This window comes from Homo sapiens, chromosome 22, assembly GCF_000001405.40.
Source record: "Homo sapiens chromosome 22, GRCh38.p14 Primary Assembly".
NCBI classification, from domain to species: Eukaryota; Metazoa; Chordata; class Mammalia; order Primates; family Hominidae; genus Homo; species Homo sapiens.
The window spans coordinates 50,508,046-50,532,598 of NC_000022.11; the positions used below are offsets into that span (position 1 = coordinate 50,508,046).

Here is a 24,553-nt window from a genome sequence, read left to right on the forward strand (position 1 = left end):
CCAAAAGCCCTCCCGTCCAAACTGGTGGCAGCCCAAAGCTCCGCCCACCCCCCCCTCCCGGAGGCTTCGACCCCGCCCCGCGACTCTTCCGGTGAGCTCCCGCTGCGCGGCGCCGGGGTTCGCCTCTCTGGCTTTTGCCCACGTTACGTCATAGACATGCGCGCGACGCCGCGCCTACGCATTTTCCTGGGCGGGAACAGCAAAATGGCGCCAGAACTAGTGGCGGGCTGAGGACGCCGTACCCCTCGGAAGGCAGCCCTGCGGTCCCTTTGCCGCCCGTTCCCTCCCGGACATGGAGGACGTGGAGGCGCGCTTCGCCCACCTCTTGCAGCCCATCCGCGACCTCACCAAGAACTGGGAGGTGGACGTGGCGGCCCAGCTGGGCGAGTATCTGGAGGAGGTAAGGGCGGCGGGGGAGTGACGCGGGGTGGGCCGGCGGGTGGGGCTGCGGGGCGGGGGCTCCGGGCCCGGGGCTGTGGGCGCCCCACCGTCTCCACGCCTATGGCTATCTGGCGCTCTGGCCGCGCAGGTCCTCGGGCTCCCTGCTTCTTTTCAAACTCCATCTCTGCCTCCCCAAATCATCCCTTGTTGGATTAGCGTGGACCTGTCATTGCAGGTTTCTACCCGTCAGCGAGCCGTGAATGATTGAGTGGGTGGTGACCAGCCGTTTCTCTAACGTAGTGGAATAGACTAGAAAGCATTATTGCTTTTATTGCAGTTATTGCGAGCATGCTTGTGTGTTTGAGAGGTCTGGATCACGATGTCAGAGGAATTTTTTATCTTGGATTTTCAAACCAATTTCAAGCTATTGCCATGCTCTATCCTGTTAGCGATTAGTGTTTCTTCCATGTTTGACAGCCCTGTCTAGACCTGTGTTAAGCTGTCTGCTCCATATTTGCGCTTCATTTTTACTCCTCAGCCCAGCTCAGTCTGGCGTCCACGACACTTAAATGTTTCTTGTCTTGATCAGCAGTGATCTCCATTCTACCAAATCCAAGGGACATAAGTCAGCATTTGTTGGACTGGCCACTCCTTTCTTTTTGAAACATGGTGGTAGGATTTTTTTTCCCTATTTCATTGCCTGATTTTTCTTTTCTATCCAGTCTCTAAGTGTTGAGTTCCTCAGGATGGGGCCTAGGTCATCTTCTGATGCATTTACCCTGAAGTGTCATTTATTTCTATGATTTTAAATATTGCCTGTATTAGGACAACTACCAGATCTGCAGCTCCATCCTAGATCTTTCCTCCAAATCTACTTTACATATCCAGCTGCTCTCTTGACATCTAGTGGGTGTCACGCAAACATCTCATTTAACATATTTAAAGTGGAACTCTTCATTTTTCTGCTTAAACCCCAGCTTTTCCCATCTCGGAAAATGACACCGCTGTTCAACCAAAAGCAAAAGCTAAATGTGGCTATAGTGAAGCCCCATGCTTAACACTCAGTTCATCCATGAATTCCATCAGTTATACCACCGGAATATCACTTGAATTCATCTGTTGTCCATTTTATTTGGTCTAGGCCACCATTGTCTCTGGCCTGGATTTGTGTAAAACCTTCCTATTTGGGTTCCCTTATCCCTGTTTTTGTCCCGTCCAATTCGTGCTCCAACCAGCAGCAAGTGTGACTCTTAAAAATTAAAATCTGGCCACAGCACTGTTTTCTGCCTAAAATCAACCCCTCAGTGGCTTTCCATTATGCCCAGAATAAAACCCAAATTTCCTTCTCTGAACCTGGCTCTGCTCTCCATTTTAGCCTCATTTTGGGCTGTTTTGTATCTTGTTCTTTTGAACCAGTCAACCTATGGCCCCTCCAAGCTTTTTCTTGGTGGAAGATCTTCATGCTTTCTGCCCCCACTTGGGAATCTTCTTTTTTGTTTTTATTTATTTATTTATATATTTTGAGACGGAGTCTCACTCTGAGACGGAAGTGCAGTGGCGCGATCTGAGCTCACTGCAAGCTCCGCCTCCTGGGTTCACATCATTCTGCCTCAGCCTCTGCAGTAGCTGGGACTACAGGCGCCCGCCTCCACGCCCAACTAATTTTTTTGTATTTTAGTAGAGACAGGGTTTCACCGTGTTAGCCAGGATGGTCTCGATCTCCTGACCTCGTGATCCGCCTGCCTTGGCCTCCCAAAGTGCTGGGATTACAGGCGTGAGCCACCGCGCCCGGCCTCTTTTTTGTTTTTAAATAAAGAGGGACTTCATATGGCAAGGAAAAGGAGAAAAAAAAAATCAGAGAGGAGGATCTTACTGTGTTGCCCAGGCTGGTCTCAAACTGCTGTGCTCAAGCAGTCCTCCTGCCTCAGCTTCTCAGGTAGCTGGGACTATAGCTGTGCACCACCACACCTGGCTGGGAATATTCTTTCAATGACTGAGTTTGTTTTCTTTTCTTTTTTTGAGATGGAGTCTTGCTCTGTTGCCCGGGCTGGAGTACAATGGCAGAATCTTGGCTCACTGCAACCTCCGACTCCCAGGTTCAAGCAATTCTCCTGCCTTGGCCTCCCGAGTAGCTGGGATTACAGGCATGCACCACCACGTCCAGTTAATTTTTGTATTTTTAGTAGAGATGGGTTTCGCCACATTGGCCAGGCTGGTCTCAAACTCCTGACCTCAGGTGATCCAGCCAGCTCTGCCTCTTTCCAAAGTGCTGGGATTACAGACGTGAGCCACCACGCCTGGCTGACTGAGTCCTTTTCATTCTTAAGGTCTTAGTGTAAATGTCAGCTGACCACCCTATCTAAAATAGTCCTCTCCATCTCAGCACCTTACACACTTTAGAATGTTTATCATAAACCATTTAAATTTTTTTTTTTTTTGAGATGGAGTCTTACTCTGTCGCCCAGGCTGGAGTGCAGTGGCATGATCTCAGCTCACTGCAAGCTCTGCCTTCTGGGTTCACGCCATTTTCCTGCCTCAGCTTCCCGAGTAGCTGGGACTACAGGCACCTGCCACCACACCCGGCTAATGTTTTGTATTTTTAGTAGAGACGGGGTTTTACCGTGTTAGCCAGGATGGTCTCGATCTCCTGACCTGGTGATCCGCCCGTGTCGGTGTCCCAAAGTGCTGGGATTACAGGCATGAGCCACCGCGCCCAGCCAAAAAAAATTTTATTTATTTATATGTTTTTTTTTTGAGATGGAGTCTCACTCTGTCACCCAGGCTGGAGTGCAGTGGTGCAATCTCAGCTTGCTGCAGCCTCCACCTTCTGGGTTCAAGCAGTTCTCCTGCCTCAGCCTCTTTTTTTTTTTTTTTTTTTTTTGAGACGGAGTCTCACTCTGTCGCCCAGGCTGGAGTGCAGTGGTGCAATCTCGGCTCACTGCAAGCTCCACCTCCTGGGTTCACACCATTCTCCTGCCTCAGCCTCCCGAGTAGCTGGGACTACTGGCACCCGCCACCACGCCCGGCTAATTTTTTGTATTTTTTTAGTAGAGACGGGGTTTCACCGTGTTAGCCAGGATGGTCTCGATCTCCTGACCTCATGATCCACCCGCCTCGGCCTCCCAAAGTGCTGGGATTACAGGCCTGAGCCACCGCGTCCGATCCTGCCTCAGCCTCTTGAGTAGCCGGGATTACAGGCGCCTGCCACCACGCCTGGCTAATTTTTTTTTTTTTCTTGAGACAGAGTCTTGCCCTGTGGCCCAAGTTGGAGTGCAGTGGCACAATCTCGGCTCACTGCAAGCTCCATCTCCTGGGTTCGCGCCATTCTCCTACTTCAGCCTCCTCAGTAGCTGGGATTACAGGCGCCCGCCACCACGCCTGGCTAATTTTTTTGTATTTTTCAGTAGAGACAGGGTTTCACCATGTTAGCCAGGATGGTCTTGGTCTCCTGACCTCGTGATCCACCCGCCTCGGCCTCCCAAAATGCTGGGATTACAGGTGTGAGCCACCGTGCCTGGCCCCAGCTAATTTTTGTATTTTTAGTAGAGATGGGGTTTCACCATGTTGGCCAGGCTGGTCTTGAACTCTTGACCTCGTGATCCGCCCACCTCATCCTTTGAAAGTGCTGGGATTGCAGGTGTGAGCCACTGCGACTGGCCACAAGCCATTCTTCAACTCATTTACCTGTTTGTGGCCTGTCTCCACCCTAGAATGTGAATTCTGCCAGGGCAGGGACCATACTTATGCCCTCTTTTGTCTGCTTAGTAGAGTGCCTGGCACATAGGTGTGGACGTTAAAGTGTTTGTTAAATGCACATGTGATCTGATGACCAAACTTCTCTGCTCTCATGCATAGTTGGCTGAGAAAATACGGGGAACTGTGCTGGGCAGAGCTCCTGTGGATTCAGGTTTTCACATCAAGCAGGGTCCATGAGGACACCTGTTCACTTGGTAAATCTCCTTCCTGGCTTGGTCAGCTCCCTTCCTGCTTTCTTATGTCTGCTCTTCCAAACCTCTGCAGCTTGAAGTCCTGATTTCCTGGTTTCTAGTATTATCTTTTTCCTTCTGTCATTTTCCACACACTACCATGATGTTCTTTTTCTTTTTTTTGTCCTTTGTTTTTTTTTTTTTGTTTTTTTTTTTTAGATAGGTTCTTGCCCTGTTGCCCAGGCTAGAGTGCAGTGGTGCAATCATGGCTCACTGCAGCCTCGATCTCCCAGGCTCAAGTGATCCTCCCATCTCCCAAGTAGCTGGGACTGCAGGCATGTGCCACCGCACCTGGCTAATTTTTTGTATTTTTGGTAGAGATGGGGTGTCACTGTGTTGCCCAGGCTGTTCTCAAACTCCCAAGCTCAAGTGATCCACCTGCCTTGGCCTCCCAGAGTGCTGGGATTATAGGTGTGAGCCATTGCACTGGCCAGAATGTTCTTCTAGTACTGTCATGATCCTACTCTCTTTTATCCATTTATTTATTCATTGTTGTTAGTTGTGAATTGTGTGCCAAGAACCATGTTAAACTTTGAAAAAATAGTGCCAAGCAAAGCAAATGATAATCCCCACTATGGTAGGACTTCCTCTGTCATGGGAAGACGGGTCCAAGAGAGTAACCGCATGGGGGTGTAATAAATATGCATTTGGTGTTTACTTGTGTTAAGCACCTGTTTTATGTGCTTTACACATATGAATGCAGAGTCCTCACAAAAACCTTGTTAGTAGAGGCGTTAGAGATGTACTCTGAATGATAGTGGTTCCTGGCAGATCAGAATCCAGCCTCCACCCCTGCGTGTGACTTTGTGTAGTCAGAAACTGATGGCCAGGCGAGGTGGCTAACGCCTGTGATCCCAGCACTTTGGGGGGCCAAGGTGGCTCACGCCTGTGATCCCAGCAGTTTGGGGGGCCAAGGTGGCTCACGCCTGTGATCCCAGCACTTTGGGGAGCCGAGGTGGCTCACGCCTGTGATCCCAGCACTTTGGGGGGCCGAGGTGGCTCACGCCTGTGATCCCAGCACTTAGGGAGGCCGAGGTGGCTCACGCCTGTGATCCCAGCACTTAGGGAGGCCGAGGTGGCTTACGCCTGTAATGCTAGCACTTTGGGAGGCCGAGGCAGGAGGATCATTTGAGGTCAGGAGTTCGAGATGAGTCTGACCAGCATGGTGAAAACCTGTCTCTGCTAAAAGTACAAAAAAAATTAGCCAGGTATGGTGGTGCATGCCTGTAGTCCCAGTTACTTGGGAGGCTGAGGCAGGAAAATCACTTGAACCTGGGAGGCAGGGGTTGCAGTGAGCCGAGATTGTGCCACTGCACTCCAGCCTGGACAACAGAGCGAGAGACTGTCTCAAAAACAAAAACCAAAACCAACCAACCAACCGAAAAAATCACCAGAAACTTATAAGGGATTTGAAAGAAAATGTATGGTCCTGTGGAGAGTTTGGGGGGCTTAGTTTGTTTGAGATGAAAGCAGTTACTTATTTATGGTGAGCTAAAGAATGTTTAGCTCCAGGTGGAGGAAACCTGGTGTTGGAAGGATTGGAGTTTTTACAAAAATTAGCCGGGCGCCTATAATCCCAGCTACTCAGGAAGCTTAGGCAGGGAGAATTACTTGAACCCAGGAGGCGGAGGTTGCAGTGAGCTGAGATTGCGCCCCTGCATTCCAGCTTGGGTGACAGAGTGAGACTCCGTCTCAAACAAAACAAAACAAAACAAAACAGAAGGTTCCAAGTTGGGACCATAGAGCAGAGGAGGGCAGGCAGCTGGAGAGGGAGGCTGGCCAGCATGGAGGCCTCCCTCTGGCTCCGTTTAGGATTTTGGGTTTTTCCTGCCACTGTTAGGAAAAACCCAAAATCCTAAACAGAGGCACTGAGCAGAGCGTGGAGAGTGGACGGGAGGGGAGTGAAGGGCAGGAGGAGCCCTGTCAGTGCAGAGGTGAAAGGGGAGGTGGTGGGGCCAGAATGGGGGTGACTGTGGAGAGGAACCCCTGGGTTTCTGGGCAGGTGGGTTGGGGGCTATTTGGAGTTCAGTGTGGATGCATTCAGTATGAATCTTGGTGAAGCCATCCAAGCGATGTTTGAAGAAGGCAGCTGAACATGTGGGTTTGGGCTCAGATGGCAGGTCCAACCTGGGGAGGTGAGAAGACAAGTGAAGCCCAGTAGTGTCTTGGGAGTGGGCAAGCCAGCCAGGCTGAGGGTCACTGGAGAGAAGGGCCACTTCTGCAGCTCAGCTTCCAGGCCGCCATCTCCTCCATGTTCCCTTCTTTCTGGACCAGCTCTTCAGGTCCTGAACACCCCCGAGGTCCTTACACTCCGTAGACGACCATGCTGCTGTTTCCTCTCCCTTCCTCCCAGATCTGACAAACACCCTTTATCCTTCAAGAGCTAATGGAAGTGACTCCCCTTGGGGATGGCTTCCCAGCCTCTGCCACTCCTTCGTGCTACCATGGTGCCTAAAATCTTGCCTCTCCCCAGCACGCGCCATGCTTTGGCCATGTTTAGATCATGCTCATTTTCCTGAAGAGACGTGTCCAGTCTCTGCTAGCTGCCTTCACGTTCCCTTCATCTGTCTGGTGAGCCTCTGCGTTTTTCAGGCTTAGCTTTGACATTATCTATGCATGTGTTCATCAAATATTTACTGGACACCAGTGTCAGGCACTGAACAGAAGGCTGGAATTACACTAATGCTGCTCACACAGTTCACTAAGGGACACGATCACACTAAGGGAGCGGCACAGAGGCCCCAGGAATGGAGGGGCTCTGAAAAAGAGTTTGCGTGGGGACAGCTGGGGGTCGGTGTTCCAGGCAGATGGAAATGCAAAATTGAAGAGCTGGAAAGACACCTAGGGGCTTCAAAGTGTCGTTTGTGGCTGGGCACGGTGGTGCATGCCTGTGATCCCAGTGCTTTGGGAGGCTGAGGCAGGAGGATCACTGGAGGCCAGGAGTTTGAGACCAACCTGGGCAACATAGAGAAACCCTGTCTCTACAAAAACATTTTTTTTTTGAGACGGAGTCTCGCTCTGTCGCCCAGGCTGGAGTGCAGTGGCGCGATCTCGGCTCACTGCAAGCTCCGCCTCCCAGGTTCATGCCATTCTCCTGCCTCAGCCTCCCGAGTAGCTGGGACTACAGGCGCCCGCCACCACGCCCAGCTAATTTTTTGTATTTTTAGTAGAGACGAGGTTTCACCGTGTTAGCCAGGATGGTCTCGATCTCCTGACCTCATGATCTGCCCGCCTCGGCCTCCCAAAGTGCTGGGATTACAGGTGTGAGCCACCGCACCCGGCCTTTTTTTTTTTTTTTTTTTTAAAGTGTCATTTGCTGAGAAGGAATACAGGAGATGAGCCAGCGTTGGGGAAGATGTTGGGTAAAGTATGGAAGTAAAGTGTTTGGGGACATTTGAATGTACTCTGTGGACAGCTATGAATGCAGCCCCAGAGCTAAGGAGAGAGAGCTGGTCGGGTTGGGTTTGGGGCTCATTGGCTTATGGTTGGCAGCTTGGGCATGGGATGAAGGAATGTGCATGGCGGGGGGTGGAGCGCCTGGCGCACTGACGTTTAAGGGGTGACAGAGGAGCTGGGGCTCCGGGAGGCTGAGGGGAGCAGAGGAAGGATGGCGACTCACCTGTAACTGTTTCCTGAGTTCTCTGCTCAGAGGATGGAGACCTCAGCATTTTATCTCTGCCTTTCCTACCCCTGAGGTTCCCTTTTCTTCTCTGTGTCGGGGATCTTCCTGCTGGAGTCTGTCAGCCTCTGGCGCCTTGTGGAGGGAGCCGCTGTGCTGCCCTGGTTGTTTGTAGACAGTGTGCCCTGGGGGCCTTCCACTTCCAAAACAGGTTTTTGTTATAGGAAGTAGGGGGAAACACAGAGACCTGTCTCTGCCCCGAAATACCAGGGACAACCGGTGAGCCCACAGCATAGCTAGAGCTGCCCGTCTCGGGAGGTGCTGGGCAGAGACCAAAGATGGGTGGGGCTGCCCTGGAAGAAGCGAGTGCAGACTGGGCCTTGGATTCCCCCTGTCTTTGTGTTGTTTCTTGCAGCTGGATCAGATCTGCATTTCTTTTGACGAAGGCAAGACCACAATGAACTTCATTGAGGCAGCGTTGTTGATCCAGGGCTCTGCCTGCGTCTACAGTAAGAAGGTGGGCCCTGCTTGACGCTGGTCTTGGCATTTTGGTGGCCAGTGGGACCACAGTCGGCTCTCCTTCTGGGGCAGGTGCAGTGGTCGTCCCGTCTGTGACCTACCTCCCTCTCTCCTCAGGTCTCAGCCAATTCCTCAGCACCTTCCAACACCAAGAACAATTTTTAATTTAAAATCGCACAGCCAGGCAGGGAGGGTCTTTTGTGCTGTTGGGCTCTGTTGTCTTGGGGGAATGACACCTGCTGTGTGCACTTGGACACAGCCCAGGGTGCCACCTGCACCCACCTTCCCCTTCCCCGTCCCCTACTTGTGGGTGCCTCATTGTCAGCACCTAGAAAGTCCACAACCACCACCCTCACGGTGGGGCCTCTGTTCTGTGGAGGAGAAGGACAGGAAGTGAGTGACGGGCTCTGTCCTGCAGGCCCCGTGGCGGCAGGAGCTGGGACAGGGCAGGGCCAGGACAGGAGGAGGGGCTGGGGTGATGCTGGCGGGAGCACACGGGCGGAGGAGCAGCAGGGCTGCAGGCCGTCGGCAGAGTGGGTGCCAAGCACGAGGGGCCTCACCACCAAGGACCGTGTGATGAGGCACACTGTGGGAACCACAGTGCTGTCAGGGTCACACGTTGAGAAGGCCACGCTCGCGGCTGCGTGGACCATAGAGGGCAGAGGAGAGATGTGGGTGGCCTCAGCTGGTAAAGTAATTCTCATGAGATTCCTGGTTTGATTTGAGAATTATTTTTGGAACCAAAATTGGTGGTTTCTTGTACTGGAGGTTTGGTGGTGGTGGCCAGGCCTCGTGGGGGCACCGATGGATAGCTGGGAAGGCCTTGGGGGTGGGCCCCTCCTTTCTGGGTCCTCACTGCCTGCATCTGGTCACCAGGTGGAATACCTCTACTCACTCGTCTACCAGGCCCTTGATTTCATCTCTGGAAAGAGGTGAGTTCTGCAGCCACTCACTGTGCTGCCCTGCATGTGGCCAGGGAGGCCCCTGCAGCTCCTGGGATGCCCACGGGATGTGCTTCTCTCTCAGGCGGGCCAAGCAGCTCTCTTCGGTGCAGGAGGACAGGGCCAATGGGGTTGCCAGCTCCGGGGTCCCCCAGGAGGCAGAGAATGAGGTGAGTTTCTTTGGCATGTGGTCCCCGCCCACTGTGTGTTTGCCTGGGCTCCGCCCCCACGAGCTCTGTCTCCCTCCAGTTCCTGTCGCTGGATGACTTCCCTGACTCCCGGACTAACGTGGATCTCAAGAATGATCAGACGCCCAGTGTGAGTCCTGGCCTGGCCCCTCTTAGGCTGGGGTGAGGTCAGCACTTTCCCTGGGGCTGTGTTGAGCTGATGGGGTGTGGGAAGGTGTCATTGCCCCATGTGGGTCCTGTTCTCCACTGGAGTGGAAGGGTGCCTGGCTCACCCACCCTTGGCCTCCATGCAGGAGGTCCTCATCATCCCCCTCCTGCCCATGGCCCTGGTGGCCCCTGATGAAATGGAGAAGAACAACAATCCCCTGTACAGGTAGGGATCTGAGCCCAGCGACGGGGAGGGAGGCCTGCCTGGGAAGGGTCTCTACAGCAGGCGTGTTTTTGCCAGCACAGCCGTCAGGGTGAGGTCCTGGCCAGCCGGAAGGATTTCAGGATGAACACGTGCGTTCCCCACCCCAGAGGGGCCTTCATGTTGGAGCCAGAGGGCATGTCCCCCATGGAACCAGCGGGCGTTTCCCCCATGCCAGGGACCCAGAAGGGTGAGGGCTTGGATGCGGGGGGCTTGGTGGGAAGGAAGGGAGGGTCTTCTGGTTGGACTCTTGTGGGGTGCCCTGTGCTTGCCACCTCTGGTCTTGGGAGCTCCCTGTCTCTGGGTGCCTGCTCTAGTCTAGACAGGTTGGCTGGTGCTCATCCCACCCATCTGCTGTGCCTTGATTACAAGTTAACATGGTCTCAGTGCCAGAGACCTGGTGCCTGGCTCAGGGCCCTGCTGTCTCCCCCCAGCCCAAGGCCTGGAGTCTGCTGGTCTCTGCCCTCCTGCTGGCCCCTTGGAGAGGCTTGTTGAACACCGGGCAGGGACCATCTTGGAGAGGGGCTGGGCTGACCTTGTCTGATCCCTGTCTCTCCCAGACACCGGGAGGACTGAGGAGCAGCCAATGGAAGTTTCCGTGTGCAGGAGCCCTGTCCCAGCACTCGGCTTCTCCCAGGAGCCAGGTGAGAAGAGAGCTCCCCGGTGGGACTGGCAGGGCAGCCAAAGAGGGGACCAGGGAGGCAGCACCCAGTGGACAGGGCTCCAAGGGGCTGCTCTCAGCTGCCAGCCTCATGCCCCTTCTGTGGCCCATGGGAGTGAGGCCTCGCCCCGGGGAAGCAGCCACAGCCCCCGGTGAGCCTCAGCCCATCTTGGTTCACTGACTGCCCTCTGACTGCCCTCCTGGGTCTCCTCTCTGGGCAGATGTGGATGGCTGCATTTAAAGAGGAACATTTGCTAAGAAATAAAATGAACCAAGCAGAGCACAGAGCACAGGAGCACGACGAGGATGGTGCAAGGCACCCGCCAAATCCTCTGGGCTCCGTGACTAAAGCTGAGGGAGGAAGTAGCCATCAGGGTCCCTTTGGTGCCGTCTGGTCTCGGCACTCCTTGGAGCTGATCACTCTCTTGCTCCCTGCCTAGGCCCCTCTCCAGAAGGCCCGATGCCCCTGGGTGGGGGCGAGGACGAGGATGCAGAGGAGGCAGTAGAGCTTCCTGAGGCCTCGGCCCCCAAGGCCGCTCTGGAGCCCAAGGAGTCCAGGAGCCCGCAGCAGGTGGGACCCACATGGAGGCCTGCAGAACCTGAGCTGTGAACTGGCAACCCTGGCTCTGGGGCCGAGTCACCTTGCACAAGGAGGACAGTGGTATGGCCTTGGCCCCAGACCACTGGTCTGGGGCAGAAGCCCACCTGTCTTGCAGCCCGTCCTGCAACCAGCCCTTTTGAAGAGCAGCTTCTGTGTTCCTCCCCTCTCTGAGCAGAACTGATGCTCCTCAGAGTAGTGGGCTGGCGTCCAAGGATTTGAGCCCTGTCGAGCTCACGGCAACCTGGGATGGCCGCCGGTTGCCAAGGCGCCTCTCTGCAGTCGGGCTGGTAGGAGGGAGTGTCTGGAGGCCATTGCTGCCTCCCTCAACCCCCGGGGTCAACTGTACCCAGCCTAGAGCCAAGAAATCCTTCCTTTTTATTCATTAAAACAAAATCAACCTGATGCATACAGAGGAAATGTTAACGTTTCTTCACTCTAGTTGGTAGATGGCATGGATATTTGTCATATTCTATTCATTTTTCCTAGTTTTGAAGAAGAGTACCCCGTGACCACTGTTTGTGTTTTCTGTTTGTTTTTTGAGATGGAGTTTTGCTCTGTCCCCCAGGCTGGAGTGCAGTGGTGCGATCTTGGCTCACTGCAAGCTCCGCCTCCCGGGTTCACGCCATTCTCCTCCCTCAGCCTCCCAAGTAGCTGGGACTACAGGCGCCCGCCACCATGCCTGGCTAATTTTTTGTATTTTTAGTAGAGACGGGGTTTCACCATGTTGGCCAGGATGGTCTCAATCTCCTGACTTCGTGATCTGCCCGTCTTGGCCTCCCAAAGCACTGGGATTACAGGCGTGAGCCACCACGCCCGGCCCACTGTTTGTGTTTTAAAGTTTTTCTTAGGGTTTTTGTTTTAATACCCCCAGAGAGTACTAGCAGGGTTTATTTTTATCTTATTTTATTTATTTATTTTTGAGACAGGGTCTTGCTCTGTTGCCCAGGCTAGAGTGCAGTGGCCTGATCTTGGCTCATTGCAGCCTTGACTCTCTCTAGGCTCAGGTGATCCTTCCACCTCAGCCTCCCGAGTAGCTGGGACTACAGGCGTGTACCACCACACCCGGCTAATTTTTGTATTTTTTGTAGAGACGGGGTCTCACTGCATTGCCCAGGCTGGTCTTGAACTCCTGGGCTCAAGTGATCTACCCGCCTTGGCCTCTCAAAGCACTGGGATTATAGGCGTGAGCCACTGTGTCCGGTCCCTGTAGGTTTTTTTTTTTTTTTTGGACGGAGTCTTGTTCTTTTGCCCAGGCTGGAGTGCAGTGGTGTGATATCGGCTCACTGCAACCTCTGCCTCCTGGGTTCAAGCGATTCTCCTGCCTCGGCCTCCCGAGTAGGTGGGATTACAGGTGTGCGCCACCACACCCGGCTAATTTTTTTTGCATTTTTAGTAGAGGCGGGGGTTTCACCATGTTGGCCAGGCTGGTCTCAAACTCTTGACCTCGGGTGATCTGCCCGCCTTGGCCTCCCAAAGTGCTGGGATTACAGGCATGAGCCACCACGCCCGACCCTTGTAGGGTTCTTGATGTTAACCCAAGGTGGAGTTCCTGGGGTACCCAGAGCCTTGAGGGGAGAAAGAGGAGAAGTGGGGACCCTGTGACTGTCTTTGCAGAGTGCTGCCCTGCCCAGGAGGTACATGCTGCGGGAGCGGGAGGGGGCCCCAGAGCCTGCATCCTGCGTGAAGGTAGGAGTGTTGGGGCCCTGACCCCCGGCAGGGAGGGATGGGCGGATTCGAGGACTGGCTGCCTGCCCATCATGCTCTTGCTCCTGCTGGCCTGTGGTGTTCCCAGCCTGTGGCCCTTTGCACTTGCTCTCTTAAAGACCCCCTCATGCGACTCTGGGCTCCCACCCTCTCTCTAGTGTTCCCCTCTGTGATCCAGGATTTGAGTGTGGTCGGCTCTGCCCCAGGCTGTCACTGCACTTGTTGCCTGGGCTTTGGGAAGGCGGCTGTGCACCCCCTACTCCTCTGGGAGGGTGGCTGTGTACCCCCTACTCCTTTGGGAGGGTGGCTGTGAACCCCCTACTCCTCCTTTGGGAGGGTGGCTGTGCACCCCCTACTCCTCCTTTGGGAGCGCGGCTGTGTACCCCCTACTCTTCCTTTGGGAGGGTGGCTGTGCATCCCCTACTCCTTTGGGAGGGACGGCTGTGCACCCCCTACTTCTCCAGCGCCTTCTTGTGCTCTGTGCCCAGGAGACTCCAGACCCCTGGCAGAGCCTGGACCCCTTTGACTCCTTGGAGTCTAAGCCCTTCAAGAAAGGTAATTGGGTGGAAGGTACCTCCACTCAGGTACCCCTGGCTGGGTTTCCTGGGGCATGAGGTGGGGGGGTGGGAGTGGGCTTTGCACCCTGATCCCCCAGCGGCTCTAAGACAGTCCCTGTTTGCCCCCAGGTAGGCCTTACTCTGTGCCCCCCTGTGTGGAGGAGGCTCTGGGACAGAAGCGCAAGAGGAAGGGCGCTGCCAAGCTGCAGGACTTCCACCAGTGGTACCTGGCTGCCTGTGAGTGGGTGTGGTGTGCACTCCGGACCACTGGGAGCTGGGGGCTGGGCCAGGGCCAGTGGAGGAGGATCAGCACCCTTTTCCCAATGCTGTGGGCAGCTCTTGGCCTGGCTGGTGCTGAGCATGTTCTTTCACAGATGCAGACCATGCCGACAGCAGGCGGCTTCGGCGAAAGGGTCCGTCCTTTGCAGGTGAGGCTGAAGTCCTCGGGGAAGACAGTTTTACTCTCCTTCCCCTACCTCTTCCCCCACCTGGTGTCACCCAAAGCCTTGGGTGGACTGGCACGGGGCCTGGGAAGGACGAGGGAGCCCTCACAAGGCCTTTGTCTGCAGACATGGAGGTCCTGTACTGGACACACGTGAAGGAGCAGTTGGAAACTCTCCGGAAGCTGCAGAGGAGGGAGGCAAGTCCCAGCTGGTCAGCTGTGATCTAGGACCCCGTGGTGGCCCTGATGGGAGGTGACAGTGCCCCTCACAGATGCTTTCTCTGGACAGGTGGCTGAGCAGTGGCTGCGGCCTGCAGAGGAGGACCACCTGGAGGATTCCCTGGAAGACCTGGGGGCAGCAGGTGGGTGCCTGCCAGGGGGTGGGGTGGGGCTTGGCACCTGCCGACTAGCTGCCTGCGTGCTGTTCACTCTCCCACCTCCCAGCAGATGACTTTCTAGAGCCTGAGGAGTACATGGAGCCCGAGGGAGCAGACCCCAGGGAAGCCGCTGACCTTGGTAGGTGGGCAGCGGGCTAGGAGTGCTGAGGGGCCACTGGAGCTGGGGGCAGGGGAGAGCGTGGCCCCTTAGCTGCCCAGCTCACAGCTACCCCTTCCCAGACGCAGTGCCGATGTCCCTGAGCTACGAGGAGCTGGTTCGAAGGAATGTGGTAGGCCTGGGTTAGAGGGAGACGGGGAGGGGAGGGGGACAGGTGAGCGGTGCCCAGGCCCCTGCTTGGGAGGCAGTAGCTCCTGCTGATCCTCCCCTAGGAGCTCTTCATCGCCACCTCCCAGAAGTTTGTCCAGGAGACAGAGCTGAGCCAGCGCATCAGGGACTGGGAGGACACAGTGCAGCCTCTGCTCCAGGAGCAGGTGAGGCGGGGCCGCTGGGAACCAGAGCTGTGTGCCACGGGTCTGTCCAGGGCCTTGCCTCTCTCCGCAGCCAACATGCCCCTCCCCTGTGCAGGAGCAGCATGTGCCCTTTGACATCCACACCTATGGGGACCAGCTGGTCTCACGGTTCCCCCAGCTCAATGAGTGGTGTCCCTTTGCGGAGCTGGTGGCTGGCCAGCCGGCCTTCGAGGTGTGTCGTTCCATGCTGGCCTCCCTGCAGCTGGTGAGTAGCCTGGGATACGTGGGAGGGGGAGACGGTCCCCAGACCCTGCTGATGTGCCACCCCTGCAGGCCAATGACTACACAGTGGAGATAACCCAGCAGCCCGGGCTGGAGATGGCCGTGGACACCATGTCCCTGAGACTGCTCACGCACCAGCGAGCGCACAAGCGCTTCCAGACCTACGCTGCCCCCTCCATGGCCCAGCCCTGAGTGGGGAGCACCGAGGCAGGGGTGGGGGAATGTGTACTGAGGAGCCGTGTGTCTGCTCCTGGCTGGCCCGGCCTAATAAAGCAGTGTTGCCATCTCATCTTCCCCCTAAAAACCCTTTTATGTACACCTGCGCAGAGAAGAGGGCTGCCTGGCCTCCCTGGGCCGCTGGTACAGATCACACACACACACAGATTAAACGCAGCCCGTTTAATGATGGGGCCCAGACTGCAGTGGCTCAAGACAGGACACTGCGGAAAGCCGCCATGTGCCGCCGCACACTGTCTGAGATCTGCTCAGCCGATCTGCTCCGGCCGTAGTAATCCGTGAAGAGGCCGTCAGGGTTGAGCAGGTAGATGGCAATGGAGTGGTCCACGATGTAGTCCTGGTCCTCATCCTTGGGGCCTGCATTGTAGTACACGCGGTAACTGTGACTAGCCTGGGCAACCTGTTTGGTGGAGCCGGTCAGACCCAACAGTCTTGGGTGGAAGTCCTGGACGTAGCGGGCCATGGCTTCAACGTCGTCCCGCTCGGGGTCCACAGTGATGAAGACAGGCTGCACTGGAGGCAAACCAGGCTCTGCTTCCAGCTGCCGCACCACCTGCACCAGCTTCTCCAGCTCGTCTGGGCAGATGTCAGGGCAGTGAGTGAAGCCAAAGTACATCAGCACCCACTGGCCCCGGAAGTCAGCCTTGCAGCGAGCCCGGCCTCTGTGATCCAGCAGGTGGAAGTCGCCCTGGCCCACAGCTGCCTGGCGCAGGGCTTCTGTTCGCTTTTGCTGCTGCAGCCTCTCCTTCTCAGCCCTCAGGGCCAGCCAGGCCCCACCGAGTCCAGCCCCGAACAGGCCTGTGATCAGCAGCCGGGTTCGAAGCCCAGGGCCCTGGGGCTGGCCCTGCCCACCTGTCTCTGCAGGGCCCTGCCTTGACAAAAGCCAGGACCTCAGATGCAGGGCCTGGCCTCCCAGGGTCCCAGGGAGGACCCGAGGCTTGAGCTGAGAGAGCCTGTGCCAAGCTGTGGGGCTCCGAGTCAGCAGCAGCATGGATCTGATGCTCCTGGAAACAAGCACAGGCGTCAGGAGCCAGAAGGGAAGGCCCAGGACAGTGCCTGGGCTGCCCCTGCGACTTGAGACCAGCCACCCATCTGAAGGACCCAGCCCACGTTCAGGCTTAACAGGCATTTGCAGCTGCTCACCTGAGCTCAGAACTCCACCTCCACCAAACATCCACACCTGGGCAACCACACCTGTCACTCCTGTCCTCTACCTGGGATCACCAGCCTGTCACCGCACCCTGCCCTGCACCTGCACCTCAGCAAGGTGAACCTCTTGCTGACGGAAAGCATTCCAAGTGCATGCCTTGCCTGAACTAACCACGTTATCTATTTGCAATAAACCCATTTCTTAAAAGGAGGTGGGTAACTCTCTGGCTTGCAATCCCCGAGAGCAACCGATTCCTCCAACACTTTCCTGTTACCTCCAGCCACTTCAACCAACCGCGGCCTTCCTCCACACTCCCAGCAGAAAACCTGCACGACCTACCCCCGGAGCTCAGACTCTGCCCGCCGGCTGTGTTTAACCTCTCCTGGCAGAGACGCACGACACTTCCACCCGCCACAAAACCCCACCCTCCTCACATCCAGGCTTCCCAGCAGCTCCTCCGGGCTCACAGCCGACGCCCTGCCTTTGCGTTGGTGACCTTTGAGCCTTTCCCACGGGCCCCCGCAGAAGGTTTGCTAGGTGGAGGTCTCAGGACTCCCGGTCACTGCCCCCTCCTGCTGAGGGCACCCTCCCGAGGACTCACTGCACCCCCGCCCGGGCGGTTCTGGGTTTGTGCCCTCCCCAGCAAGGCCAGCGCCCTCGTGGCCAGAAAGGTTCCAGGACCACTCGAAGCGCCGCGCGAGCGCGTTATAACTGTGCTTGGCCGCGAGAACACCGGTGCCTGCTGGGAGCCTCCCACGGGCGCCCCAGCCTCGCTCCGGCCTCCAGCGCGCCCTGGGGTGTGCCCCGCCAGCCCCGCGCAGTAGCCGGAGCTGGGAAACTACCCCGGAGTCCAGCGAGTCCTCAGGGCTACCTCCTCCCCTCCCAGCCCCGGCGTCCGCACCTCGCGGCGGGGCCGCGCGTCAGTGGACCAAGCACGAGAGGAAGCGCCGACCTCCAGCTCCCTGCGCTCTGCCCCGCCGGCTCAGGGAAAGCGGGCGCCACACGCTCACAGGCAGGGCGCAGGCGTCCCCGGAGCTGCGCATGCGCACACGGGCGCAGCCGCTGACAGGCTCTCAGCGCGTGCGCGGAAGGCGGAGCCCGCCGGGGGTCACGTGTTCATCGAGACGGCCCCCGCCTCCGCAGCCCTGGATCCTTCCGCTCCCGCCCAAGCACTGACAAGGTTTCGCGGCAAAGGAGCTTTATTGCTGCGGCGGCAGAACGAGCTCTGCGAAGGGCGAGGGGGCGGCGAATGGCGCGCGGTCGGAGAGTACGAGCGCCTCCTGCAGGGCGCGGCTCTGCGGGCCGCTGAGCGCGGGGCCGTCCCGGTGCACGCGGAGCCAGGGGGTCCCTGCAGAGCGAGGGGCTGTTAGAGGCCGCGCGGCCGGAGCTGGGCGGGGGTGCGGGGCCAGCAGGGCGGGGGCGGCGCTCACCACGGCGCAGCCTCTGACCCACGTCGACCAGCAGCTCTGCGCCCACCCCCAGGCGGAGCGGCTCCCCAGCGCGGCTGCGCCCGGCCCCGAGCTCGTGCAGCACCAGCGCCAGCGGCAGCGCCCGGACCAGCTCCACGGTGCCTGCGGGGAGAGGGGCTGAGAGGCGCGGGCTCGGGAAGGGGCGGGGCCTCGGGAAGGGAAGGGGATGGCGGAGGCGGAAGGACGGGGACTCCCCCGACGCTCACCATCTGCGGGCGCCAGCAGCTCCTCCTGCTCCCGGGCGCGAGGCAGCAGCTGCCGGCGTTCTGCGGGACTTCCCGAGCACAGGGCTCGGGCCAGACCGGGATCCACGCCCTGCGCCGCCAGCATCCGCTCGAAGCGGCCAAGGGCCGAGCCGTCGTCCAGCGCCGCGGCCACCCGGGCAGCGCCCTGGGCCTGAGTCCCCGCGTGTCCGCTGAGCCAGAGCAGGGCGCCCCCTGCGGGCGGGGACGGGTCTTAGGCGCGGCCGGGTCGGGGCGGCCCCAGCGGGAAGCACCCCCCGCCGCCTCCGCTCCCCTACACCCCGTCCCCCTCACCGAGCGTGGTGACCAGGTCCCTTAAGTCTGGCGGGCCTGCGCCGTCCATGCAGAGCAGCGCCTCCTCCACCTCCAGGGCGTGGCCCACGCAGCGACCCAGGGGCTTGTCCATGGCGGTCAGCGCTGCCGCGACCCGAAGCCCTAGGCTGGCTCCCACGCCAACCTGCGGAGAGGAGGCTCAGCGTGGACCCCCCATGGCGGGGCCTTCTGCAGCCGGTTCTTGGTCGAACTCCAGCCCCTGCTGCACCCTGGGTTGCCAGCCCCCCAGCATGAAGTCAGGGAAGGATTGGGGTGGGGAAGAGACACGAGTGAAGTGCGACACCTCGCCATGGGGCCAGGAGGAACTTGTACTTGGTCTGGGGCAGGAACGCCACAGAGGGCTTCCCCAGGTCCAGGCCGGGCCAGCCTTGACCTCTAAAGTCACAGCAGGTTAGGAAGCCGTGAAGGAGGGAGGGACTTCGGGCAGAAGAGGGTGGGACTGGGGTTAGGCAGGACTGCTGAGTGGAGGGAGGCAGTGGGGACGGGAGGGGTGAAGGGTAGGCTGGGCCCGCATCAAGACGCTTGCCCAGGGAAAGGCCACACCGCTCACCAGCGTCTTTGCCAGCTCCCGGGCCTGCTCCTGGTTGGGGAAGACGGCGGCCCCTCCGAACTTAACGTCCACCACCAGAGCGGACAGCCCCTCCACGAGTTTCTTACTGAGAATGGAGGCTTTGGGGGAGGCAGAGGAGGTTGGAGACAATGGAGAACCTGGAGCTTCTTGGGAGAGTTCGGGGATGCCGACTTTGGGGTCAGGGGCCCTGAGCATTGAGGGTCAAGTCCCTTATTATGGGGGTGGCAGCACCTGGTGGGTTGAGTATCAGGCCACCCCACATGGTGGTGGTCAGGCATCTTGTGATGGGGGTAGGGGGGCACACGGTCAGGTGACGGGTAACTCCTAACGAGAGGCCCTTGACTTGAGTTTGGAGGTCAGGAGCCTGTGAACATGCAGAAGCAGGCCATGGAGTCAGGTCACCTGTGATGAGTGGCAGGCTGTCCACGGTGGCTGTCACATCTCTGGCTGCATATAGGATTCCGTCCGCAGGAACCAGCTGCTCACTCTGACCCACGATACAGCAGCCCGCCTGGTCCAGCAGCACTTGCATCTGGTCAGACATCCCCTGTTCTCAGTGACTTATGGTAAATGACTTAGCAGCTTTTTTTTTTTTTTTTTTTTTTTCTGTGAAGAGTCTTCCTCTGTTGCCCAGGCTGGAGTGCAGTTGGCACAATTTCGGCTCATTGTGACCTCTGCCTCCTGGGCTTAAGTGATCCTCCCACCTCAGCTTCCCAGTAGCTGGGACTACAGGTGCGCACCACCACACGCGGCTTTTTTTTTTCTTCTTTTTTTTGTAGAGATCAAGTTTCACTATATTACCCAGGCTGATCTCCAACTGGGCTCCTCTGCCTCCCAGAGTGCTGGGACAGGGTCTCACTCTGTTGCCCAGGCTGGAGTGCAGTGGCATCGTCCCGGCTCACTGCAGCCTAGACCTCCCAGGCTCAAGTGATCCTCCTGCCTCAGCCTCCTGAGTAGCTGGAACCACATGCGTGCACCACCACACGCAGCGAACTATTTTGTAGAGATGGGGTTTTGCCGTGTTATCCAGGCTGGTTTTGAACTCCTGGGTTCAAGGGATCTGCCCTCTTCGGCCTCCCCAAGTGCTAGGACTACAGGTGTGAGCCACCGTGCCCCGCCAGCCATCTGTGATTTTGACCAACTTCCCATTTTATGATCCTAATCAAAGTTCCACTGATGATTTCGGCCCAGGCCCAGTGACTCATGAGTAACCTTGACCAGTGTTCTCATTAGTGACCCTAATGATCCACCAGTGATCTTTTAGTGATTCTGGCCAGGGTCTCCATCATCAACCTGGATTAATGACTGATCCGTGGCGCCCCGTACCTGCTCTGGGCTCTGGATGACATTGAATCCAGGAATAGACTCCAGCTTATCCAAGGTGCCTCCTGTGTGCCCCAGACCACGTCCGCTGATCATTGGCACCTGGTGGTCAGGGATGCTGAGTACCCTGCACAGTACCCCTCCCCCACCTCTGTGCATCCCTTCACCTTCCCTGGCTAGGAGTGCAGCTGGATTTGGAAAGTATTTAAGCAGCTATAGGGGTGCCCAGCTGGTGAGGGAATGGAAAGGAAGTTTTCTTGGTTGAGAAGTGTCAGTAGGGGAGGAGGTTGGTACCTGTCCTTGGGGAAACAAGGCTTGGGGCAGAGGGAGGAAAGTCCTCAGCTCCTCCCTTGGGGGAGCTGTCTGGGGACCCAAGGGGAAAGGGGTCTGAATTCCATCAGTGGATCTTTTTCCTGCTCCAAGGGGCCTGGTCTGGAGCCAGAGGGGCCCCAAGCGCTGTGCTGGGGAACGGGGTGGGGAGAACTGTGCTGGGGAGCAGGGTGGGGAGAAGCCTTGGTAGGGTCTTGGAGGCTTTGGGCCAGGCTTGAGGTTGGGAGCTGCCTGTGGATGGACTGGTTGCTGCATGTGCGGTATAGGCTCCCGTCTGGAAAGGAGGTGGTTTCTAACCTTGCAGCCACATGCCGCCAGGGCAGGTGCGAGGACCAGGCTGACCTTGTCACCCACACCCCCTGTGGAATGCTTGTCCACAAGCTGCTGGCGCCAGGCCTCTGGCCACTCCAGCTGCTGTCCCGACTGAGCCAGGGCCTGGGTCAGCACCGAGGTCTCCTCCAGATCCATGCCCCGAAGTCGGATGGCCATCAGCATGGCCCCTGGTATGTGGGGGTACGCGTGAGGGTGGCAGCCCACAGCGGTGGGGCACCCTGGGGCCGGTGCTGGTAGTGGGGCACCGTCGCACCCCCAGGGACCCAAAGTCTCTCGGGCTGACCTCCCAGTCGGGGTCAGGAACGCCCAACCCTCCCCACGCACCGATCTGTGCGCCCTGCGCGCTCCCATTCACCACAGCGGCCACGAAGCCCCTGATGTCCGCTTCGCTCAGGCGGCCTCCGTCTCGCTTCATGCGGATCAGCTCCGGGAGCTGCTTGGGCTCTGGCGAAGGGTCGGGAAGTCCCTGGCTCCCTTCCCCGGAGAAGTCACCAGGCGCGGGTGGGGCCCCGGTTCCCGGGGTCATCAAGGCTGCCATCGCTCCGGGCCTGCGGGGATGCCTGACACGTCCGGGGTCTGCGGCCTCCCGGCGTCGGTGTCTGAGCCACGTGCTCCTGTCCCGACCCCTTTCCCGTGTCTCTCCGGTGTCCGCCCCTCGGTCCCGTGTCTGTGTCGCCCTCGTCCGTGTCTGCCTCCCGCTTCCCCGCCTCGCGACTTGAGCCCCGCCCGTACCTGCTTAGGGCGCTGCCCTCGCCCGCTTGCTCCGGATCCCAGCCCAGGTACCCGGCCTCGCCCGCGGGTCGGGACCGTAGGGTTCAGGGTTCGCGCACAGCGGTCCACTGCCGGCGGCGGGGCGGCGGCGCCCCAGGACGGCAGGCGGGTGGGGCCGCCTGGAGGGCGGAGCTCGGCAGTCGCCGCCCCCGGGAAGCCTTGCACGCCGCGCCCCGGCCAATCCCCCGGTGCCCCCGGACACGCGGAACTTCCGGGCCGTCGGGGCCCGGGGCCGTCGGCGGGGGTGATCCCTGGCCGGTCCCGCCCGGCGTGGGTCTCGGGCGTCTGTGGCTCCCGAGAGTCCCCCTCCCGCCCTCGGTGGGGTCTCGACGTTCGGACGCGGCGCAGCGCTGGGGTCCCGGCCTCGCCCGACGCTCGGGCCCCGCCCCGCTGGGTTCGGAGTTGGGACACGGCCCCAGCCGTGGCTCCACCCCAGGCCTTGCGCCAGGACGCGCAGAGAGAGAGAGAGAGAGGCGGACACGATGCGGACTCGCAGACTTTAAGCAAACACGTGTGGGGCCGCTCCCGCCTGGCGGGTCAGTTGTCCGCGTCGGTCACCAGCGGGGCCAGGTAGTCCGAGTGCCGGATCCCGAAACTCCAGCCGCGGGGCTTCCGGTGCTGCGGGCCCGGAGACACCGCTGACCTCGCGGGGCCGGCATCCTCTCCGCGCCGGGACCCCTGGACCCCCGGGGACTCTGATCCCATCACTCCGACCTCAGGCCCTCCCCACTCTCCTGACTCTGACCCTTGACCCTGGGCTCCAGGCCACCTGATCCACGTTGTAGGCCGCGGGCCCTGGCTTCCGAGTGTTGTCTTGGGGGAGCGAAGTCCGCGCCAGAATCGTGAACTGGGGGGCCCGGGACTTGTAGACCCCTGGACTCACGACCTGATAGGCGCAGGGGCCCGGGGTCTGCGAGAGGGCAGAGGGTGCTGGCTGCCGCCTCCACTGCCGCGGACCAGGGACCCCCTGCGTCCGCCCCGGCCCCTCCCCCACCTTGCTGAGGTCCTCGAAGAAACTGCCAGCCGCTCTGCGGCCGTAGATGGAGCAAGTTGGGGCGGAGACTTTGCCGATGACGCGCGGACCCAAGAGCGAGGGCACCGTATAGGCCGCGGGACCTGGGGAGGAGGCAGGGCTCGGGGGTAGTGGGTCTCCGCGGACAGGCGCAGGGTGGTCCCAGCTCCCGGAGGGCGGTCCCCGGTCTCGAGTGGGAAGGCCCACAGTTCTGGGATGGGCCGTTCTGACCTCACCTGGGCTCTGCTGTTCCGCCTGGACACCCCAGTTTCGGGGAGCAATGGTGTGCCGAGGCGCACTGGGGTACGTCGCGTTCCCCGCTCGCTCCGGGAAGTACCTGCCTGCGGGGCGGATCAAGGGTGTGGGGGGCTAGAACTGCGTGGGAGCCTGGTGGGTACCCGAGATGGGGTCCTGGGACTAGTGGGGAGTCTGAGCCACGATTTATCAAAGCCCCGTGGGGTTCGGGGTTTGGGATTTGAGATCCGGATATGGGGGTACCGAATATGCGGTGTTAGGGTATCCGAGGGGGACTCGGGGTTCAGGTCGGGGGTTCCCAGGTGGGCCTCCCTGGAGGCAGTTCGGCGTTGGGGTGGCCAGGGGCCCGGGGGTCCTGACCAGGTCCCGGAGTGAGGAAGGGCGCTGAGCGGCGTGGGCGGCCGTAGATGGAGTAGGCGGGGGCGCCGTCGGTGCCGCGCACGGTCATGCGAGCGGGCACCAGGTGGCCTGGCCCGGGGCCGCACGTCGTCTGCTGCGTGGGGAAGCGCGCGCCGAAGGTGAAGGCGGGGGCGCGCGGCCGCGACGGGTCATGCAGGGCGTAGCCTGGGAGCATCCGAGTTAGCGTCTGGCCGGGCCCAGCCCCAAGCCCCATCTGCAACACGGACCCTCCCCCGGCACAGACCCCCTCTCCCCTCTAGCAGGCACGGTTCAGCCCCGAGCGCAGGCCTCCCTGGTCTCTTCCCCTTCCCTCCCCCAGGCGCCGTCCCACCCCTCAATCCCGGGGCCTGCCCCTTCTACCGGTGTTGGGCGGCAGCTTGTATTTGGGCCCGGGGCCTCCGTAGTGCGCCGCGATGGGGCCGCGGGGCCGGTGTGGCCGCCAAAGGCCCACCCAGGCGTCCGAGCCCATAGCGCGGGTGGGGGGCGCTTACGGCTCGCAGCACCTGCGGACAGAAGGCGGTGGCCGCGGCCCCTGCACCGCAAATTCTTGGGGAGCGCACTTTCCCACTACCCTGGGATCAGCGCGGGGCGGGGCGGGGCCTGGACCGTATCCCTGGCGCCAGCAAAACAAACGCGAGCTTCCTTCCCGGCTGTGTGGAGCTTGGGGCCGGGAGCGGATCCAGGGCCATCACCCGGACTCCAGGCGCATTAGGCAGGGACGTGAACTCGCGGGGGCCAAGTCTAGACCCAGACTTGGTGAAGGGAATCACCTGGGGGTGGGGTGGGGGCAGGAGATTTTCGTGCTGTTGGGAAAGGGTGCCCCGGGAAGGGCCTGCGTGGGGGACCCGGTGCCCCGAGGTGCACTGACCTGTTGTGGTAGCTCCTAGCGTGGGAAAACAAAGCGACGTGGCTGGACATCCCCGCTCCGCCCCGCCCACCTCCCAGACCCCATTGTGGCCCTTTCCCGCTTCCTGGCAACCGCACTGACTG

At 59.3% G+C, this 24,553-nt stretch overlaps 4 protein-coding genes across 27 annotated transcripts, besides 19 other annotated features; 1 reads left to right on the forward strand and 3 right to left on the reverse strand.

Moving 5' to 3' along the window:
• Positions 179-16,735, forward strand: NCAPH2 (non-SMC condensin II complex subunit H2). 9 transcript variants are annotated; one of them, XM_005261912.5, is made up of 21 exons: positions 179-400; positions 7,675-7,729; positions 8,402-8,503; positions 9,382-9,437; positions 9,532-9,616; positions 9,696-9,764; positions 9,928-10,007; positions 10,088-10,233; positions 10,604-10,687; positions 11,145-11,275; positions 12,920-12,991; positions 13,498-13,564; positions 13,696-13,803; positions 13,941-13,994; positions 14,136-14,206; positions 14,298-14,370; positions 14,453-14,524; positions 14,626-14,675; positions 14,776-14,877; positions 14,972-15,121; positions 15,190-16,735. In XM_005261912.5, exons 2-21 carry the CDS (start codon positions 7,703-7,705, stop codon positions 15,328-15,330), a joined length of 1,740 nt encoding a protein of 579 aa, XP_005261969.1. In that variant the 5' UTR covers positions 179-400; positions 7,675-7,702; the 3' UTR covers positions 15,331-16,735. The 9 variants fall into 9 exon arrangements, with proteins under 9 accessions (XP_005261969.1, XP_016884282.1, NP_001171940.1 ...); XM_017028793.3 differs by having other exon boundaries at positions 14,456-14,524; NM_001185011.2 differs by lacking the exon at positions 7,675-7,729.
• Positions 428-717: a silencer, noted in NCBI's record as "silent region_13984". NCBI's record gives its function as "represses an Ori minimal core promoter by ATAC-STARR-seq in GM12878 lymphoblastoid cells {active_cell/tissue: GM12878}" and the evidence as "EXISTENCE:reporter gene assay evidence [ECO:0000049][PMID:35858748]".
• Positions 9,271-10,204: an enhancer, noted in NCBI's record as "H3K4me1 hESC enhancer chr22:50955745-50956678 (GRCh37/hg19 assembly coordinates)". NCBI's record gives its function as "activates a minimal SCP1, AML or CMV promoter by ChIP-STARR-seq in naive H9 embryonic stem cells {active_cell/tissue: H9 hESC(naive)}" and the evidence as "EXISTENCE:reporter gene assay evidence [ECO:0000049][PMID:30033119]".
• Positions 15,523-18,397, reverse strand: SCO2 (synthesis of cytochrome C oxidase 2). Of its 4 annotated transcripts, none has more exons than NM_001169109.2 (2): positions 18,201-18,397; positions 15,523-16,379 (listed from the first exon to the last, which is right to left on the reverse strand). In NM_001169109.2, exon 2 carries the CDS (start codon positions 16,364-16,366, stop codon positions 15,566-15,568), a length of 801 nt encoding a protein of 266 aa, NP_001162580.1. In that variant the 5' UTR covers positions 16,367-16,379; positions 18,201-18,397; the 3' UTR covers positions 15,523-15,565. The 4 variants fall into 4 exon arrangements, with proteins under 4 accessions (NP_001162580.1, NP_001162581.1, NP_005129.2 ...); NM_001169110.1 differs by lacking the exon at positions 18,201-18,397 and adding an exon at positions 17,956-18,100; NM_005138.3 differs by lacking the exon at positions 18,201-18,397 and adding an exon at positions 17,427-17,553.
• Positions 17,225-17,524: a silencer, noted in NCBI's record as "silent region_13985". NCBI's record gives its function as "represses an Ori minimal core promoter by ATAC-STARR-seq in GM12878 lymphoblastoid cells {active_cell/tissue: GM12878}" and the evidence as "EXISTENCE:reporter gene assay evidence [ECO:0000049][PMID:35858748]".
• On the reverse strand, positions 17,707-22,040 carry TYMP (thymidine phosphorylase). 5 transcript variants are annotated; one of them, NM_001257989.1, is made up of 10 exons: positions 21,859-22,040; positions 21,451-21,674; positions 21,091-21,293; positions 20,467-20,565; positions 19,543-19,672; positions 19,120-19,238; positions 18,531-18,693; positions 18,201-18,431; positions 17,956-18,111; positions 17,707-17,873 (listed from the first exon to the last, which is right to left on the reverse strand). In NM_001257989.1, exons 2-10 carry the CDS (start codon positions 21,662-21,664, stop codon positions 17,725-17,727), a joined length of 1,464 nt encoding a protein of 487 aa, NP_001244918.1. In that variant the 5' UTR covers positions 21,665-21,674; positions 21,859-22,040; the 3' UTR covers positions 17,707-17,724. The 5 variants fall into 5 exon arrangements, with proteins under 5 accessions (NP_001244918.1, NP_001244917.1, NP_001944.1 ...); NM_001257988.1 differs by having other exon boundaries at positions 17,956-18,096; positions 21,451-21,709; NM_001953.5 differs by having other exon boundaries at positions 17,956-18,096; positions 21,859-21,967.
• Positions 17,735-18,564: a silencer, noted in NCBI's record as "silent region_13986". NCBI's record gives its function as "represses an Ori minimal core promoter by ATAC-STARR-seq in GM12878 lymphoblastoid cells {active_cell/tissue: GM12878}" and the evidence as "EXISTENCE:reporter gene assay evidence [ECO:0000049][PMID:35858748]".
• Positions 18,655-18,954: an enhancer, noted in NCBI's record as "active region_19322". NCBI's record gives its function as "activates an Ori minimal core promoter by ATAC-STARR-seq in GM12878 lymphoblastoid cells {active_cell/tissue: GM12878}" and the evidence as "EXISTENCE:reporter gene assay evidence [ECO:0000049][PMID:35858748]".
• Positions 18,655-19,334: a biological region, named in NCBI's record as "H3K4me1 hESC enhancer GRCh37_chr22:50965237-50965808".
• Positions 18,763-19,334: an enhancer, noted in NCBI's record as "H3K4me1 hESC enhancer chr22:50965237-50965808 (GRCh37/hg19 assembly coordinates)". NCBI's record gives its function as "activates a minimal SCP1, AML or CMV promoter by ChIP-STARR-seq in naive and primed H9 embryonic stem cells {active_cell/tissue: H9 hESC(naive and primed)}" and the evidence as "EXISTENCE:reporter gene assay evidence [ECO:0000049][PMID:30033119]".
• Positions 19,125-19,324: an enhancer, noted in NCBI's record as "active region_19323". NCBI's record gives its function as "activates an Ori minimal core promoter by ATAC-STARR-seq in GM12878 lymphoblastoid cells {active_cell/tissue: GM12878}" and the evidence as "EXISTENCE:reporter gene assay evidence [ECO:0000049][PMID:35858748]".
• Positions 19,345-19,494: an enhancer, noted in NCBI's record as "active region_19324". NCBI's record gives its function as "activates an Ori minimal core promoter by ATAC-STARR-seq in GM12878 lymphoblastoid cells {active_cell/tissue: GM12878}" and the evidence as "EXISTENCE:reporter gene assay evidence [ECO:0000049][PMID:35858748]".
• Positions 21,215-21,374: an enhancer, noted in NCBI's record as "active region_19325". NCBI's record gives its function as "activates an Ori minimal core promoter by ATAC-STARR-seq in GM12878 lymphoblastoid cells {active_cell/tissue: GM12878}" and the evidence as "EXISTENCE:reporter gene assay evidence [ECO:0000049][PMID:35858748]".
• Positions 21,755-21,804: a silencer, noted in NCBI's record as "silent region_13987". NCBI's record gives its function as "represses an Ori minimal core promoter by ATAC-STARR-seq in GM12878 lymphoblastoid cells {active_cell/tissue: GM12878}" and the evidence as "EXISTENCE:reporter gene assay evidence [ECO:0000049][PMID:35858748]".
• Positions 21,815-22,664: a silencer, noted in NCBI's record as "silent region_13988". NCBI's record gives its function as "represses an Ori minimal core promoter by ATAC-STARR-seq in GM12878 lymphoblastoid cells {active_cell/tissue: GM12878}" and the evidence as "EXISTENCE:reporter gene assay evidence [ECO:0000049][PMID:35858748]".
• On the reverse strand, positions 22,381-24,453 carry CIMAP1B (ciliary microtubule associated protein 1B). 9 transcript variants are annotated; one of them, NM_001014440.4, is made up of 7 exons: positions 24,432-24,453; positions 23,924-24,066; positions 23,525-23,728; positions 23,146-23,250; positions 22,892-23,013; positions 22,667-22,807; positions 22,381-22,515 (listed from the first exon to the last, which is right to left on the reverse strand). In NM_001014440.4, exons 2-7 carry the CDS (start codon positions 24,030-24,032, stop codon positions 22,435-22,437), a joined length of 762 nt encoding a protein of 253 aa, NP_001014440.2. In that variant the 5' UTR covers positions 24,033-24,066; positions 24,432-24,453; the 3' UTR covers positions 22,381-22,434. The 9 variants fall into 9 exon arrangements, with proteins under 9 accessions (NP_001014440.2, NP_001369736.1, XP_047297336.1 ...); NM_001382807.1 differs by lacking the exon at positions 24,432-24,453 and having other exon boundaries at positions 23,525-23,657; positions 23,924-24,112; XM_047441380.1 differs by lacking the exon at positions 24,432-24,453 and having other exon boundaries at positions 23,924-24,112.
• Positions 22,675-22,904: a silencer, noted in NCBI's record as "silent region_13989". NCBI's record gives its function as "represses an Ori minimal core promoter by ATAC-STARR-seq in GM12878 lymphoblastoid cells {active_cell/tissue: GM12878}" and the evidence as "EXISTENCE:reporter gene assay evidence [ECO:0000049][PMID:35858748]".
• Positions 22,887-23,392: an enhancer, noted in NCBI's record as "H3K27ac-H3K4me1 hESC enhancer chr22:50969361-50969866 (GRCh37/hg19 assembly coordinates)". NCBI's record gives its function as "activates a minimal SCP1, AML or CMV promoter by ChIP-STARR-seq in naive H9 embryonic stem cells {active_cell/tissue: H9 hESC(naive)}" and the evidence as "EXISTENCE:reporter gene assay evidence [ECO:0000049][PMID:30033119]".
• Positions 23,065-23,174: a silencer, noted in NCBI's record as "silent region_13990". NCBI's record gives its function as "represses an Ori minimal core promoter by ATAC-STARR-seq in GM12878 lymphoblastoid cells {active_cell/tissue: GM12878}" and the evidence as "EXISTENCE:reporter gene assay evidence [ECO:0000049][PMID:35858748]".
• Positions 23,525-23,684: a silencer, noted in NCBI's record as "silent region_13991". NCBI's record gives its function as "represses an Ori minimal core promoter by ATAC-STARR-seq in GM12878 lymphoblastoid cells {active_cell/tissue: GM12878}" and the evidence as "EXISTENCE:reporter gene assay evidence [ECO:0000049][PMID:35858748]".
• Positions 23,765-23,974: a silencer, noted in NCBI's record as "silent region_13992". NCBI's record gives its function as "represses an Ori minimal core promoter by ATAC-STARR-seq in GM12878 lymphoblastoid cells {active_cell/tissue: GM12878}" and the evidence as "EXISTENCE:reporter gene assay evidence [ECO:0000049][PMID:35858748]".
• Positions 24,005-24,194: a silencer, noted in NCBI's record as "silent region_13993". NCBI's record gives its function as "represses an Ori minimal core promoter by ATAC-STARR-seq in GM12878 lymphoblastoid cells {active_cell/tissue: GM12878}" and the evidence as "EXISTENCE:reporter gene assay evidence [ECO:0000049][PMID:35858748]".
• Positions 24,385-24,434: a silencer, noted in NCBI's record as "silent region_13994". NCBI's record gives its function as "represses an Ori minimal core promoter by ATAC-STARR-seq in GM12878 lymphoblastoid cells {active_cell/tissue: GM12878}" and the evidence as "EXISTENCE:reporter gene assay evidence [ECO:0000049][PMID:35858748]".